This window comes from Homo sapiens, chromosome 12 (assembly GCF_000001405.40).
Source record: "Homo sapiens chromosome 12, GRCh38.p14 Primary Assembly".
NCBI classification, from domain to species: domain Eukaryota; kingdom Metazoa; phylum Chordata; class Mammalia; order Primates; family Hominidae; genus Homo; species Homo sapiens.
Genome location: NC_000012.12, coordinates 25,111,473 through 25,126,079, shown reverse-complemented (window position 1 = coordinate 25,126,079; position 14,607 = coordinate 25,111,473). Strand labels below are relative to the sequence as shown.

The 14,607-nt window shown below is 38.4% G+C and overlaps 1 protein-coding gene across 30 annotated transcripts in view, besides 1 other annotated feature; it reads left to right on the top strand.

The window, feature by feature from the left end:
- The window catches only part of DNAI7 (dynein axonemal intermediate chain 7), an 88,114-nt gene that overhangs the window by 69,081 nt on the left and 4,426 nt on the right, over window positions 1–14,607 (top strand). For 15 of the 30 annotated variants that reach the window (XM_011520723.2, NM_001204101.3, NM_001352061.2 and 12 more), the window contains 5 exons: window positions 2,794–2,869; window positions 4,167–4,327; window positions 6,779–6,935; window positions 11,210–11,424; window positions 14,141–14,308. In XM_011520723.2, the coding sequence (XP_011519025.1) occupies window positions 2,794–2,869; window positions 4,167–4,327; window positions 6,779–6,935; window positions 11,210–11,424; window positions 14,141–14,308 (777 nt within the window). Of the gene's footprint in view, window positions 1–2,793; window positions 2,870–4,166; window positions 4,328–6,778; window positions 6,936–11,166; window positions 11,426–14,140; window positions 14,309–14,607 lie in introns of those variants that run through there. The other 15 variants (NR_147910.2, NM_001352067.2, NM_001352068.2 and 12 more) reach the window with 6 other exon arrangements.
- Window positions 6,633–6,802: an enhancer, noted in NCBI's record as "experimental_26664 CRE fragment used in MPRA reporter constructs". NCBI's record gives its function as "activates a minimal promoter by MPRAs in K562 erythroleukemia cells, with activity observed for both the introgressed and non-introgressed 12:25272297 variant alleles {active_cell/tissue: K562}" and the evidence as "EXISTENCE:reporter gene assay evidence [ECO:0000049][PMID:34662402]".

Genomic DNA, 14,607 nt, shown 5'->3' with positions numbered 1-14,607 from the left:
CTTTCAATATTTAGTTCAACAAACCTGGAAGCATCACATTACCTGACTTCAAAGTATACTACAGGGCTACAATAACCAAAACAGCGTGGTACTGGTACAGAAACAGGCACATAGACCAATGGAACAGATAAGAGAGACCAGAAATAAGGCCACACATCTGCAAACATCTCATCTTCAACAAAGCTGACAAAAACAAACAATGGGGAAAAGACTCCCTATTCAATTAAAATGGTTCTGGGATAACTGGCTAGCCATATGCAGAAGATTGAAACTGTACCTCTTTCTTATACTGTTTACAAAAATCAACCCAATATGGATGAAAGACTTAAATGTAAAACCCAAAATTATAAAAACCCTGAAAGACAACCCAGGCAATACAATCCTGGACATAGGATGGGCAAAGATTTCATGAAAAAGGCACCAAACGCAATTGCAACAAAAGCAAAAATTGATTAAGTGGCATCTAATTAAACTTAAGAGTTTCTGCACAGCAAAAGAAACTATCAACAGAGTAAACAGCCTGCAGAATGGTGGAAAATATTTGCAAACTATGCATCTGGCAAAGGTCTAATATCCAGCATCTATAAGGAACTTAAATTTACAGGAGAGAAACAACCCTATTAAAAAGTGGGCAAAGGACATGAATAGACACTTTTCAAAAGAAGACATACGTGTGGCCTAGAAGCATATGAAAAGAAGCCCAATATCGCTGATCATTAGAGAAATGTAAATCAAAACCACAATGAGATATCATCTCACACCAGTCAGAATGGCTACTACTAAAAAGTCAAAAAATAAAAGTTGCTGGTGAGGTTGCGGGGAATAGGGAACACTTATACACTGTTGGTGGGAGTGTAAATTAGTTCAACCATTGTGGAAAGCAATATGGTGATTCCTCAAAGAGCTAAAAGCAGAATTACCATTTCACCCAGCAATCCCATTACTGGGTATATACTCAGAGGAATATAAATCATTCTACCATAAAGTCACATGAACGTGAATGTTCATTGTAGCACTCTTCACAATAGCAGAGACATGGAATCAACCTAAATGCCCATCAGTGACAGATTGGATAAAGAAAATGTACATACCCACCATGGAATACTATGCAGCCATAAGAAAGAATGAGATCGTGTCTTTTGCAGGAACGTGGGTGGAGCTGAAGGCTATTATCCTTAGCAAACTAATGCAGGAACATAAAACCAAATGCTACATATTCTCACTTGTAAGTGGGAGCTAAATGATGAGAACTGATGAACACAAAGAAGAGAATGGCAGACACTGGGGCCTACTTAGGAGTAGAGGGTGGGAGGAGAGCAAGGAGCAGAAAAATAACTATTGGGTACTAGGCTTCATACCTAGGTGATGAGATAATCTGTACAACAAACCCCTGTGACCTGAGTTTGCCTGTACAACAAGCCTTCACATGCACCCTCAAACCTAAAATAAAAGTTAAAAAAAAATTTAGTTCAAACTTACTACCTTTAGGTAAGAGAGGTGTTGCCTGTCTTCACCCACACATTTTCCCACAGAATTAACTCCTCTTCCTTGTACTCCTATTGTGGCTCCTTTACTTTATACTACAACACTTACAAAAATATACCCATTTGTTTACTTGCTTCCCTAATAGTCTGGAAGTTCCTTATGTCAGGGACCTTGTTTTTTATTGCCAGTGTCTAGCAATGCCACTACTATTTAGGAGCTCTGTAATTTTTTTTTTGAATGAATAAATAAGGGAGAAGGTTCAGAGGCATGATGGAAAGGGTTTGCAGAGAATGTAATAGTGTTAAAGCTGGTCAGGGGGAAGACACATAGGGCAATATGGTGATGAGAGATGGGAAAGGCTAGTCTACTAAGGGGGACTTGTCTGTGTATGATGGGTAAGAGTCATGGGAATAACTAGCTTTAAATTTCTGACTAGAACTCTGGTATAAGGTTATTCTATTGCTGCAGAAGTACAGGTGCTACCTGAAGTCAAGTGAAGTTTGCTGGATGTCATTCAATTTGCAAGTATTAGCACACACACACACACACACACACACACACAATTTTTATACTAGCAACACTGCATTTATCTAGTGCTTTACATTACCCAAAGTTCTTTTATTTCCATTATCTTATTTGACCCTTAAAACAGTTATCTCCCTCAGCTTCAGTTTCCTTATTTCTTCGGATTGTTTGCAAGATGTGTTATATGTCTGATACACAGTTAAATACCAAATGTGTTATTGTTACATCAGGAATTTGAGGCTCATAATAGTTAAATGACTTGCTCAAGGTCAGAAAGGTAAGTTAGTGGCAGATTTAGACATAAAGTCTAGATTATTTTTACTGCACTAGAGTACAATGGGATACTATCTTCTACATTACTTGAGCTGCAACATCTTTAATTTCCTTGAGAGACTTACCCAAAAGCAGGCTTTGGGATGACTCTACCAGAGCTGATTATCAAATTTAAGCAAAATCTACCTCCTGGATAAACCAAAATGCAAATATAAATAATATTTTTTATAGCTTGCATTGCTTCCTAATCTCCATCTTTTACACTTGAGGATTTTCAGCAGAGAATCTGAGCAGGGTAACCTCTTGCCCTTGTGAAGTTTTGTAGATATTTTAATTGCTTGTTAAAATATTGCTTTTGAGTCCAGTTTTATGGTAGAGCAAGTATCAGTTTGGGGTTTTCAGCCTAGAATTAAGGTAGCAGGCATCTGAAGTGAGGACTGGAACACAAAGACAATGACTGTACTATGTAGACACTGACAATCACACCCATATGTCTGTGGTTTTTTATAGAGTTCTGCTGAGGAAGAATCTGAAGCCATAAAATGTGAACGAGAGATGAAAGTATTAAGTGAAACTGTTTCAGCAGGTATTCTAAATTACATTTTAAGAATTTAACTTTATTGAGATTTTCTTCTTACAGAAGAAATACAGGATCATTGTTAAAAAAATTCAGACATTGCAAAAATATATTTAAAGTGAAAATTCTTCATAGTCCCTTTTCTGAGATACCAGTGTTAACAGATTTCTTTGCTCAATTTATCCCTGTCTCTCTTAATTTCTAATAAAACCATGGGATTATATTATACAAATGTTTTTGTTGAGAATTACTTTTTTCCCACCTAACAACGTGTTACATACATAGAACACAATATATATTTCATGTAAATGAATATTCAACATTATTCTAAGAATACATTGGTAACCTCACTTTTTGAAGTAGTTGTATAATTCCATCCAATAATGGAACACTTTTTAAATCCCTATTGATAGGCAGGTTGTTTCTAATTTTGTATTACTACAATATTGTAATGAACTTTCACAAGTACACATACACAACTGAAAATCTCGCAACACTTCTGGGTATTAACAAGTGTTTGCATTCAGTCTTGTCCTGGCAAATAGCAGTTGGATATAGTTTAGAAGTGTCAAGGCAATAGCGATGTCTAATTTGTCAATCTTTTAGTTTGAGATTTATATACATCTTTTCTGTTAACTTTATGCTTCTTTCCCCATAACTTCTAGGAATCTATTTTCTATATATTTCTTAGCATATTTTTTCATAACAGGCCTTAAACTTCACTTTTTCTTTCTTCTTCTTCTTCTCCTTCTTTTTTTTTTTTTTTTTTTTGAGATGAGATCTTGCTCTATTGCCCAGTAGTGGTGCAGATTATGGCTCACTGCAGCCTCAACTGCCCAGGCTCCAGTAATTCTCCTACCTCAGCCTGCTGAGTAGCTGGGACCACAGGCATGCACCACCAGGCTAGCTAATTTTTAAATTATTTATAGAGATGGGGTCTTGCTATGTTGCCCAGACTCGTTTTAAACTCCTAGGCTCAAGCGATTCTCCCACCTCAGCCTCGCAAAGTAGTGGGCATGAATCACTGCCCCCAGCCTGTTTTCATTTTAATAATAACACATGCTTATTGTATGGTTTCATAGATGAAATAAAAATTATGTCCTCCCCTATACCCCACCATTACTCATGCCTGTTTCCACTTCCAAGGTCAGCTCTATGAATCATTTTGAGTTAACTGCTTTTTGAAAAGTTTTAGTAGCTGGTTGAATAGAAACTTCCTTTACCAGTATGAGAATTTTTAAATTTCTTTCCTAAGAACATACTAAACTGTAATCTATTTGAAAACTGTTAATCTGATTAATTTTAGCACAGTTGTTGCTGGTAGAGAATTCTTCTGAAAAGCCAGATTTCTTTGAAGACAATGTGGTGGATTTATGCCAGTTCACAACTCTGGGTGGAGTATACCACTTGGATATTTTGGAGCTTCCTCCACAGTGTAAACCAGTGAAGGGATGGATGATTGTGGAAGTAGGTTGATTCTTGAATCAAAACTTATAAGTAAAATAATTGCTCACGCTTTTACTTTATTTCATATTATCTAACATCTAATAAGCTTTAACCTTATTAAACACAAAGGAAAAAATGTAATTTTAAACTGTCTTAAATGTATTGGTATTGAAAATTTGAATCAGATGCTAAAAGAATCTAAAATAATATGACGTTTGTACTAGAATTCAGATATGTTAACTTCATTGTAAATTTACATCATTATGTTTTGTTAGTGCCAATTTGGTCTTAATAATAATATTCTAGATCAGAGGTTGGCAAACTTTTTCTGTAACAGGCCAGATGGTAAATATTTTCACCTTCGCGGTCCCTACTAGCTCTGATGCAGCTACTCAACTCAGCCATTGCAGCACTAAAACTGCTGTGTATAAACGAATGGGCACAGCTATGTTCCAATAAAACTTTATTTACAAAAATTGGTGGTGAGTGGGATTTCCCAGGGACCGTAGTTTATGGACTCCAGTCTAAATCAGTGGTTGTTAATATGTGTTCCCTCGAGCAGAGGCATCAGCATCCTCTGGCATCATCTGGGAATTTGCTAGAAATGCAAATTAATGAGCCCCACCTCAAACTTACTGAATCCGAAACCCTGGAGGTAAGGCTCAACAATCTGTTTTGGAAAAATACACCCTAAAGTTTGGAAATCACTAGTCTGAATCCTTGACATACAAAATATGGTCCTAAATCAACAGCATTGAACCAGCAGCATTAGTGTCAGTTGGGAACATGCAAGAAATGCATAATTTTGGGCTGCACCTCAGAGCTACGGAATCTGCAGTGGAACAAGATCCCCAGGTAACTCCTATGCATATTGAAGTTTGAAAATCACCAGTCCACATGATGCCAATGCTGCTGATGCCCTGACCACACTTTGGTGATAATAGTTGTTAGATCATCTTTCAAGGAGTTTCTCACCCCTGTTTTATAAGTAGTAACACTTGCGCTATTATTGACTTGGTTTATTTATTTTTTTTATTTTTATTTTTTTTGAGACGGAGTCTCGCTCTTTCGCCCAGGCTGGAGTGCAGTGGCGCTGTCTTGGCTCACTGCAAGCTCCGCCTCCCGGGTTCACGCCATTCTCCTGCCTCAGCCTCCCGGTAGCTGGGACTACAGGCGCCCGCTACCACGCCCGGCTAATTTTTTTTTTGTATTTTTAGTAGAGACGGGGTTTCACCGTGTTAGCCAGGATGGTCTCGATTTCCTGACCTCGTGATCCGCCCGCCTCGGCCTCCCAAAGTGCTGGGATTACAGGCGTGAGCCACCGCGCCCGGCCGACTTGGTTTATTTTTAACTTAACCTCGTGGTGGCTTGCTTCCCATAGAATACTACCATATATACCCAGTTATGTTGTCATAGGCTGCCCCTTCCTTCCTCTCTCTCTCTCTCTCTCTCTCTCCCTCTTCCTGCCTCTCTCTCTCTTCTCACCCTCTCTCCCCTAACACACCTGTACACAGATTGCTGGGTACTTCTCACCCACAGTCCTATCCATTAAGGACCTTGGTGCATTCTTGTTTTTGAGAAGTATTTCCCAACCTTTTCTCCCCCGTTATTTTCCTAATCACCTGCCACTCCAACAAAATTTTAATATTCTCTTTATCCATAAGGTCCCAGCCTGAGCTGGGGTTTTCAAGAATCCATCTAAAGATCTGTTGTTATTGACTTTTGTCACAGTGTCCTGAGACCACTTCATGCTCTCCCCTTGAACCCAAAGAGTCCTCCTTCACAGCTGTTTTTCTCTCCTGCAACAAAGAGGCTTTCCTCATTTTCAAGGCTTTTTCAATAACTTTCCACCTCTTCTAGAATCTTGCCCTAATTTTTCCTCTATTTTCTAATATTTTTAAATCTTTCTTCCTTCCCTAGATCCTTGTCTGCTGCATTCAGATAATGCACAAATCTTCCTTATCCCAGAAAAATCTGCTGTCTGGTTAATTCACTTTCATTCATTCATTTCCTTTCTTCTCAATAGGTTGTCTATATGTTTCTTTTTCTCTTTACCTACACACCCTTAGCATGGTATTAGAGCATGTGATTTAGGGTCCCATACACCGGTTTTTGAGTTCTGGTGCCACTTTGAAGTCATTTTGTAATCTTTGTCAAATTACTTGATTTTTCTAAGTCTTAGTTATCATTTCTGTTAAATATAGGCCTTTAGGATTGCTTAGAGGAATAAAATGTTGAGGAAGCCCCACCACACAATCTGGCCCATAGGAAGTTCTGTACATTCATATTTAGTAACTTTTTTTCTCAATCATGTATCTTTTAAATTTTGTTGTGACATTTTGTTAATCTATATATAAATAGGATCAAACTGCAGTGCTTATTAAAAATAACTATATAACTTATTCAGTACTATTTACATTTTTCACTGCTACCAGTCAACTAACTTGATGTTGTTTTGGTCATTTTAAAAAGATACTCAAAGAAGGATTACAGAAATACACATATCCTCCGGAAACTACAGAAGAGTTTGAGACAGAAAATGCTTTCCCACCTATAGAGGTCACACTTGAGGTTCATGAGAATGTAATCTTTTTTGAGGATCCTGTGGTTGTAAGGTGGGATGCTGAAGGTACAGCTTTTATAATTATGTAATAAAAGGAGGGATAATCATAAAAACCCTTAAGTTGAAACAGAAAGTGTAGTGTATTAACTGAGCTTACTATCTTACATATTTCTATGCCAATTCAAGGGTCTTGTTTTGTTTGTTCTTAATGGAAATGAATAAGTGTTGGAGTTTAAAATTTGCTGAGTGTTGTAACTATTAACTCCTAAAGTATCTGTATCTGCCATTGTCTATGAACAATTACTTTATGGTTATATCATTATGTTTCTAAAAAACGAGTGAAACACTGGGCACGATGGCTCATGCCTGTAAATCCCAGCACTTTGGGAGGCTGAGGTGGGCAGATCACCTGAGCTCAGGAGTTTAAGACCAGCCTGGGCAACATGGTGAAACCCCACCTCTCTACTAAAACATTACAAAAATTAGCTGGGCGTGATGGTGTGCACCTGTAATCCCAGCTACTTGGGAGTCTGAGGCATGAGAATCGCCTGAACCCGGGAGGTGGAGGTTGCCATGAACTGAAATGGTGCCACTGCACTCCATCCTGGGCGACAGAGTGAGACTCTGTCTGTCTCAAAAAAACAAACAGGCCAGGCGTGGTGGCTCATGCCTGCAATCTCAGCACTTTGGGAGGCCGAGGCAGATGGATCACCTGAGGTCAGGAGTTTGACATTAGCCTGGCCAACATGGTGAAATCTCATCTCTACTAAAAATAGAAAATGAGCGGGGCGTGGTGGCACACACCTGTAATCCCAGCTACTCCGCAGGCTGAGGCAGGAGAATAGCTTGATCCCAGGAGGCAGAGGTTGCAGTGAGCCAAGATGGCGCCACTGTACTCCAGTCTGGGCCACAGAGCAAGACTGTGTCTCAAAACAAAACAAAACAAACAGGCAAAAATGAATGAAAATATTAAAATCAGGCCAGGCGCTGTGGCTCACGCCTGTAATCCCAGCACTTTGGAGTGCCAAGGCGGGCGTATCACCTGAGGTCAGGAGTTCGAGAGAGCCTGGCCAACATAGTGAAACCCCATCTCTACTAAAAATACAAAAACTAATGGGGCATGGTGGCACATGCCTGTAGTCCCAGCTACTTGGGAGGCTGAGGCAGGAGAATTGCTTGAACCTGGGAGGTGGAGGTTGCAGTGAGCCGAGATTGCGCCACTGCACTCCAGGCAGAGCGAGACTCCCTCCGTCTCAAAAAAAAAAAAAAAAAGAAAAAGAAAATATCAAAATAGTTTAGCAAATCAAAAACAGATAAAAAGTCTACTCTTCTGAAATAACCAAATAGTTTGGATTTGGATAATTAGTATTTGATTACTTTAATGTTAATCGTTTATAAATTGTACACAAGTATTGGGGATGAGGAATGGGCAAATGGGAAACCTGAGAAAGGGAAAACTAGCCACTTGTATACCTTTTTATACCTTTTTATTTTTGAGCCATGGGACATTATTGCTTATTCAAAACTTAAATATTAATAAAATTATAAGTATCTACAGTGATACAAGCTAATGATTTGTTAATCATTAACAAATACCTCTTTTGGAGTAGGCTTGCTGAATTTTGAAAAATCTTGGTCTGGTGAGTTAATGTATGCCATTTTAAGGATCCTAGATGAGAGGAGTACACCTTTGTTTTTAAGGTTGTTTTATATCCATCTGTTGGTGAAGGGATTTATATACTTGGTGATAGGCTGGGAACAAATATCACTAAGGCACAGAGCTTTTACATAATCTACTTATTTAGTTATGGAAAATTTAGGAACAGAGAATTTAGGAATTTATACCAAGAAGTTTAAATATTTTGTATTTTAAATTTTTTAATGAATGCCCTGGTGCTCTACATTTTTGTTTGTATAGACAGACCTACAAGATGTATTATTTATATTCTAGAAATAGTCTATGTATTAAAAACAGTAGGCCGGTCGCAGTGGCTCATGCCTGTAATCCCAGCACTTTGGGAGGCTGAGGTGGGTGGATTACTTGAGCTCAGGAGTTCAAGACCAGCCTGGGCAACATGGAGAAACACCATCTCCACAAAAAGTACAAAAATTAGCCAGGCGTGGTGGCATATGCCTGTAGTCCCAGCTACCCCAGAAGCTGAGGTGGGAGCATTGTTTGAGCCCAGCAGGTTGAGGCTGCAGTGAGCTGTGATCATGCCCCAGCACTCAGGGTGGGTGACAGAGTGAGACCCTGTCTCAAAAAATAAAAAATAAGTTAAAAAACCTAGTAAATTCTTACATATTAAACTATAAAATACATCAACATGAACAACTGTATCTCTTTTGATATTGTTTCAGAGGTGTCACTTTAATGGTAATATTCCTAAGTATTTATCACATTAAAAATTATTAACACAGCTGGGCATGGTAGCTCATGTTTGTAATCCTAGCGCTTTGGGAGGCTGAGGCAGGCGGAACACCTGAGGTCAGGAGTTCGAGACCAGCCTGGCCAACATGGCGAAACCCTGTCTCTACTTAAAAAAATTAGCCAGGCGTGGTGTCACGTGCCTGTAATGCTAGCTATTCAGGAGGCCGAGGCAGGAAAATTGCTTGAACCTGGGAGGCGGAGGGTGTAGCGAGCTGAGATCGCACCATTTTACTCCAGCCTGGGTGACAAGAGTGAAACTCTGAAAAAAAAAATTATTCACATGAAATTAGAATTAGACAAGGTAAATTATTCCACACAATTCAGGGGAATAATTTCACTCTACAACTTCAGTAATTAGAAAGCAGTAATTTACAATTCTAGTAATTTTTAAACCATGGGGAAACATTTTGCCCGGAACTACTAGAAATTTGGAGAATTTATTTATAGGTAATAACTTTTTACCTTATAAATTAAAATTATTTGTTAATGTAGCGACAAAAAGAGGAATTAAAAATAAGTTTGTGAATGTAATTTTATTTATTATATGAAATTTAAGAGTAAAAACTTGTCAACAGAACCCTCCAATCGAGAGCAGGAAAGAGAGCTAAGTAGAAATGGAGAGCACGTCTGGGAAGAAAATGGTTCATTTATTTGTCCTATAAAGATGACCCCTCCCCCCAACCAAAAAAAAAAAAAAAGAAAGAAATACAGAGATAAATGAGGCATAGTTTCTTCCTCTTGGAGTTTCAAAAGTTGTAGGAGGGGCAGATGGGTAAACACCACATTGTGATACAACATAGTAGGGTGCTAGCATAGATGTAAAGTGCTATAGAGCACGACACAGATGGCTCAATCTTTAGAGTATTGGAAGGCTTCTCACAGGTTGGAATGTTGAACAGGTCCCTCAAAGATGAAGAGAATGTTTGCATGCAAGTCTCTGTGTGGACATGTTTTCAGTTCAGTATGTACCTAAGAGTGGAATTGCTGGGTTGAGTGCTGAGTTTATATTTAACTTTCAAAGAAACTGCCAAATTGTTTTTCAAAGTAGCCGTACCATTTTACATGTCTGCCAGCACTATATGAGGTTTTCTGTTTGTTCATAACATTTGTTATTTATCTTTTTGATGATAGCCATTCTAGTGGGTGTGAAGTAGTATTCCATTGTAGTTTTAATTTATTTCCCTAATTACTAATAATGTTGATCATCTTTTTAAGTACTTATTAGCCTTTCATATCTCTTTGGTGAAATGTTTATTCAAATCATTTACCCACTTTTAAATTAGGTTGTGTTTTATTATTGAGTTGTAAGAGATACAAAAGACCACCTACAGGAAGTACATTAATCGTTGCCTGGGGCTGGAGGTGGGAATGGGAATTAACTGTAAATGGACATAAGGATCTTACTGAGGGGATAAAAATGTTCTAAAACTGGATTGTGGTGATGGTTGCACAACTGGGTAAATTAAAGATAATTGAATTGTATACAAAAAATACATGAATTTTGAAGTCATTTTAAAGCAAAGCTGAAGAGAGTTTCTCTGAAAGATTAGGGAACAGTATTGTAGGAGGAAAGAACTGTATGTGCTGAGGCCCAGAGGTATACATACAGTGTTGTTAGGGAAAGAAAAAAGTGGGGCTGAAAAGAGAAAAACTTTTTCCCTTGAGGAGTGGCAAGGGATGGAGCCAAGAAAGTGAGTCAAAGCTTCATTCTGAAGGTCTTACCATGCTGAGGAGGTGGGACTTGATCCTGTAGTCAGGGGAAATCTCTCAGCGAAGCTGGCCTTCTTTTGAGTTTCTATTCTAAATATGAAAGATCAATTTATACACAAAGCAATTTTTTTGGTGCTTTCATTTATCTTTTTTTAATAGGGAAAAAATGAAACTAGTGTCACTTTCTTCATCAATTATAAAGGTAAACATTGGAGAACTGATGGCATCAGCAATGTATCCTACAAACCAAAAGAAAGACTTGTAACATTCAGCCTGGACACCTTTGGCCCTGTTACCTTGATTCAAGATGCTCATATTAACATGCCGTACCAGTCATGGGAACTAAGACCACTTGATGTAAATAAAGTACTTTTAACTGTGACTACAGTATTTACTGAGATTCAAATACAAATTAAGGTGAGTTACTCTTGTAGCTGTTATGTACTATCGTATCAGAGGTAAACCATTTTGATGGAATACTAGTTTGTCAAAAGCAATCAGTGGCTGCTGATTTATATATTGAAATATAAGTGTCTTATAATGACCTTAAAAATGTACCTTGAGCTATATTTCTAAATGAAATATTAGTTGAATAATTAAATAGGCAATAACATGTAAATAGCAAGGCTCAAACTTAAATTTGTACCCTAAAGTTACTAGGGATAGATCAACTGATGAACCAACAACCCTCATTGCAGTATGAATTTCAGAGTTTTTGATCCACCCTAAAGGGGCTACGTGATGTTTATCATCCAGCCATTTGAAATCCTTTTTGAGGTTGGTTTCTCTCTGAATGATCCCCTATTGCTCATCAGTCAGAAATTACATAGCCTGGGCCGAGCGCAGTGGCTCACGCCTGGAATCCCAGCACTTTGGGAGGCCAAGGCGGGCAATCACCTGAGGTCAGCAGTTCGAGACCAGCCTGGCCAACATGGTGAAGCCCTACTAAAAATACAAAAATTAGCCAGGCGTGGTGGCACACACCTGTAATCCCAGCTACTCAGGAGGCTGAGGCAAAAGAATCGCTTGAACCTGGGAAGGGGAGGTTGCCATGAGCCGAGATCGTACCACTGCACTCCAGCCTGGGCAACAGAGTGAAACTCTGTCTCAAAAAAAAAAAAAAAAAAAAAAAAACCCAGAAAGAAAGAAAGAAATTACATAGCCTGTAATGTTTGGAGACAAAAGTAGATTAGTGGTTGCCTGGGGCTGAGAGTGGGTGGGGATTAACTGTAAATGAGCATGAGGAATCTTATTGGGAGGGATGAAAATGATCTAAAATGGATTTATGGGGATAGTTGTACCAGTCTGTAAAGTTACTAAAAATCATTGAATTATACACTTGAAATAGGTGAATTTTATGATATGTAAAATATATCTTAAAAAGTTGTTTTTAAAAACAGAGATAGCCTGGAATTCATCATGAGTACAGAAAGCCTAGAATATTATTAAACTTTGCTTTTAAAACTAGATGAGGGCTGGGAGCGGTGGCTCACGCCTGTAATCCTAGCACTTTGGGAGGCTGAAGTGGGTGGATCGTGAGGTCAGGAGTTTGAGACCAGCCTGGCCAATATGGTGAAACCCCATCTCTACTAATAATACAAAAATTAGCCAGGCATGGTGGCACACGCCTGTAGTCTTAGCTACTCAGGAGGCCGAGGCGGAAGAATCGCTTGAACCCGGGAGGCGGAGGTTGCAGTGAGCCAAGATTGTGCCACTGCACTCCAGCCTGGGCGACAGAGCAAGACTCCATCTCAAAAACAACAACAACAACAACAACAACAACAACAACAACAGCAACAACAACAAACTAGGTGAGATGGGAGATGGAGTGCCGTAGAATTATTAGTGTGCAAGTGCCCTTAAAATGCTTCTGGTCTACCCTCCTGTTGTATATAGAGAGAAACTAAGGCCCATAGAGGTTAGGAGGTTATGTGACCTTTCTGAGATTGTGTAAGGGGATTGTATTGCTGGAGCCTCCTTTCAGGCTTCCCTGCACCATTCCAGCAGCCCTGACGACCCTTGTGCAGAGATTCTTCCTCTAGACTCATGGAAAAATACAAGCATCTTCACAAAGTTCACTTATTAATATGACGATTGAAACACCCAAGACTGTTCAGTGTGCGTTTTCAGGTTAGTAGATCTGTGCTGTCTAATGTGGTAGCTACCAGCCGTATATAGCTACTGCATGTGACTAGTCCAAATTAGCACATGCTCTAACTGTAAAATTAACACAAATTTTGAGTTCTTGGTATGAAGAAAAAAATGTAAACTCTCAATAATTTCTATACTGATTACATATTGAAATATTTTAGATATATTGGGTTAAATGAAATATATTATTAACATTAAAAAAAAAACAGATGTGTAGGCTAGGTGTGGTGGCTCACGCCTGTAATCCCAGCGCTTTAGGAGGCCGAGGTGGGCAGATCACAAGGTCAGGAGATCGAGACCATCCTGGCTAACACGGTGAAACCCTGTCTCTACTAAAAATACAAAAAATTAGCCGGGTGTGGTGGTGGGCGCCTGTAGTCCCAGCTACTAGGGAGGCTGAAGCAGGAGAATGGTGTGAACCTGGGAGGCAGAGCTTGCAGTGAGCCAAGATCACACCACTGCACTCCAGCCTGGGCGACAGAGGGAGACTCCGTCTCAAAAAAAAAAAAAAAAAAAAAAAAACCAGATGTGAATTCTATACACCTTCAAACTGTCACTTCGCGCAAGACTTTAAAACTGGATAATAATATTGCCTCATTATGTTAACTTTTACGGATGTGAAAAGAATGATCCCTAAAAGTATAATCATAATTGTTATCTAATAACTATTTTAATTCAGTGTGAACATATGCATATTCTTATATTACAATTTCTAAAATAGGAGGCTTGAGAGATGCTATAGTCCATTCTTTGAATGTTCTGATGAAGCCCAAAAAGAGTTAGTAAACTGCTTAACATAACATGGGGACTTTGTGTCAGAGCATTCAGATGAGGCTTAAGATATACTTGCCCTGCATTCTTTCTAATATAGAGTGATAGATGACTTTTAAAAATGTATAAAGCATCTAAAGGCTGCACCTGGAGTGATACTGAAGTAATGATTTAACTTACATAAAAGCTTCTTTTTTCTTATTTAAACTAGGAAAACCTCTGCATGTTATCTTCAATCAAACTAAAAGACAAGAAACACATCTCTATTTTGGAAGGAACCTGGATGACTCCTATTCCTTTCATTATTGCTTTGAAAGAAGCTGGACTGAATATCTTTCCTACTAGACACTCTCATTTTTATGTTATTATAAACAATAAGGCAAGAATGAATCTTTCCAAATTTAATGTGGCGTGCATTTAAAATGTTAGCAATTATTAAATGTTATATAATTTAATATTATATACACTGTATTTTATATATTCATTTATACAGTATTATAAAGAAATAAGTGAAAAGACCAGAAATCCAGGGTTCTCTTAATTTTCCCTAAGAAAGTAAGCCTGTAGTGCGATCTTCATATTGACAAATGGAGCATATCCACAGACGGTCAGTTTAGTGCAAAGGTAGTTTAAGCAATTCTCATTTTATATACTTTCTTTTTGCATTACTGGATATTA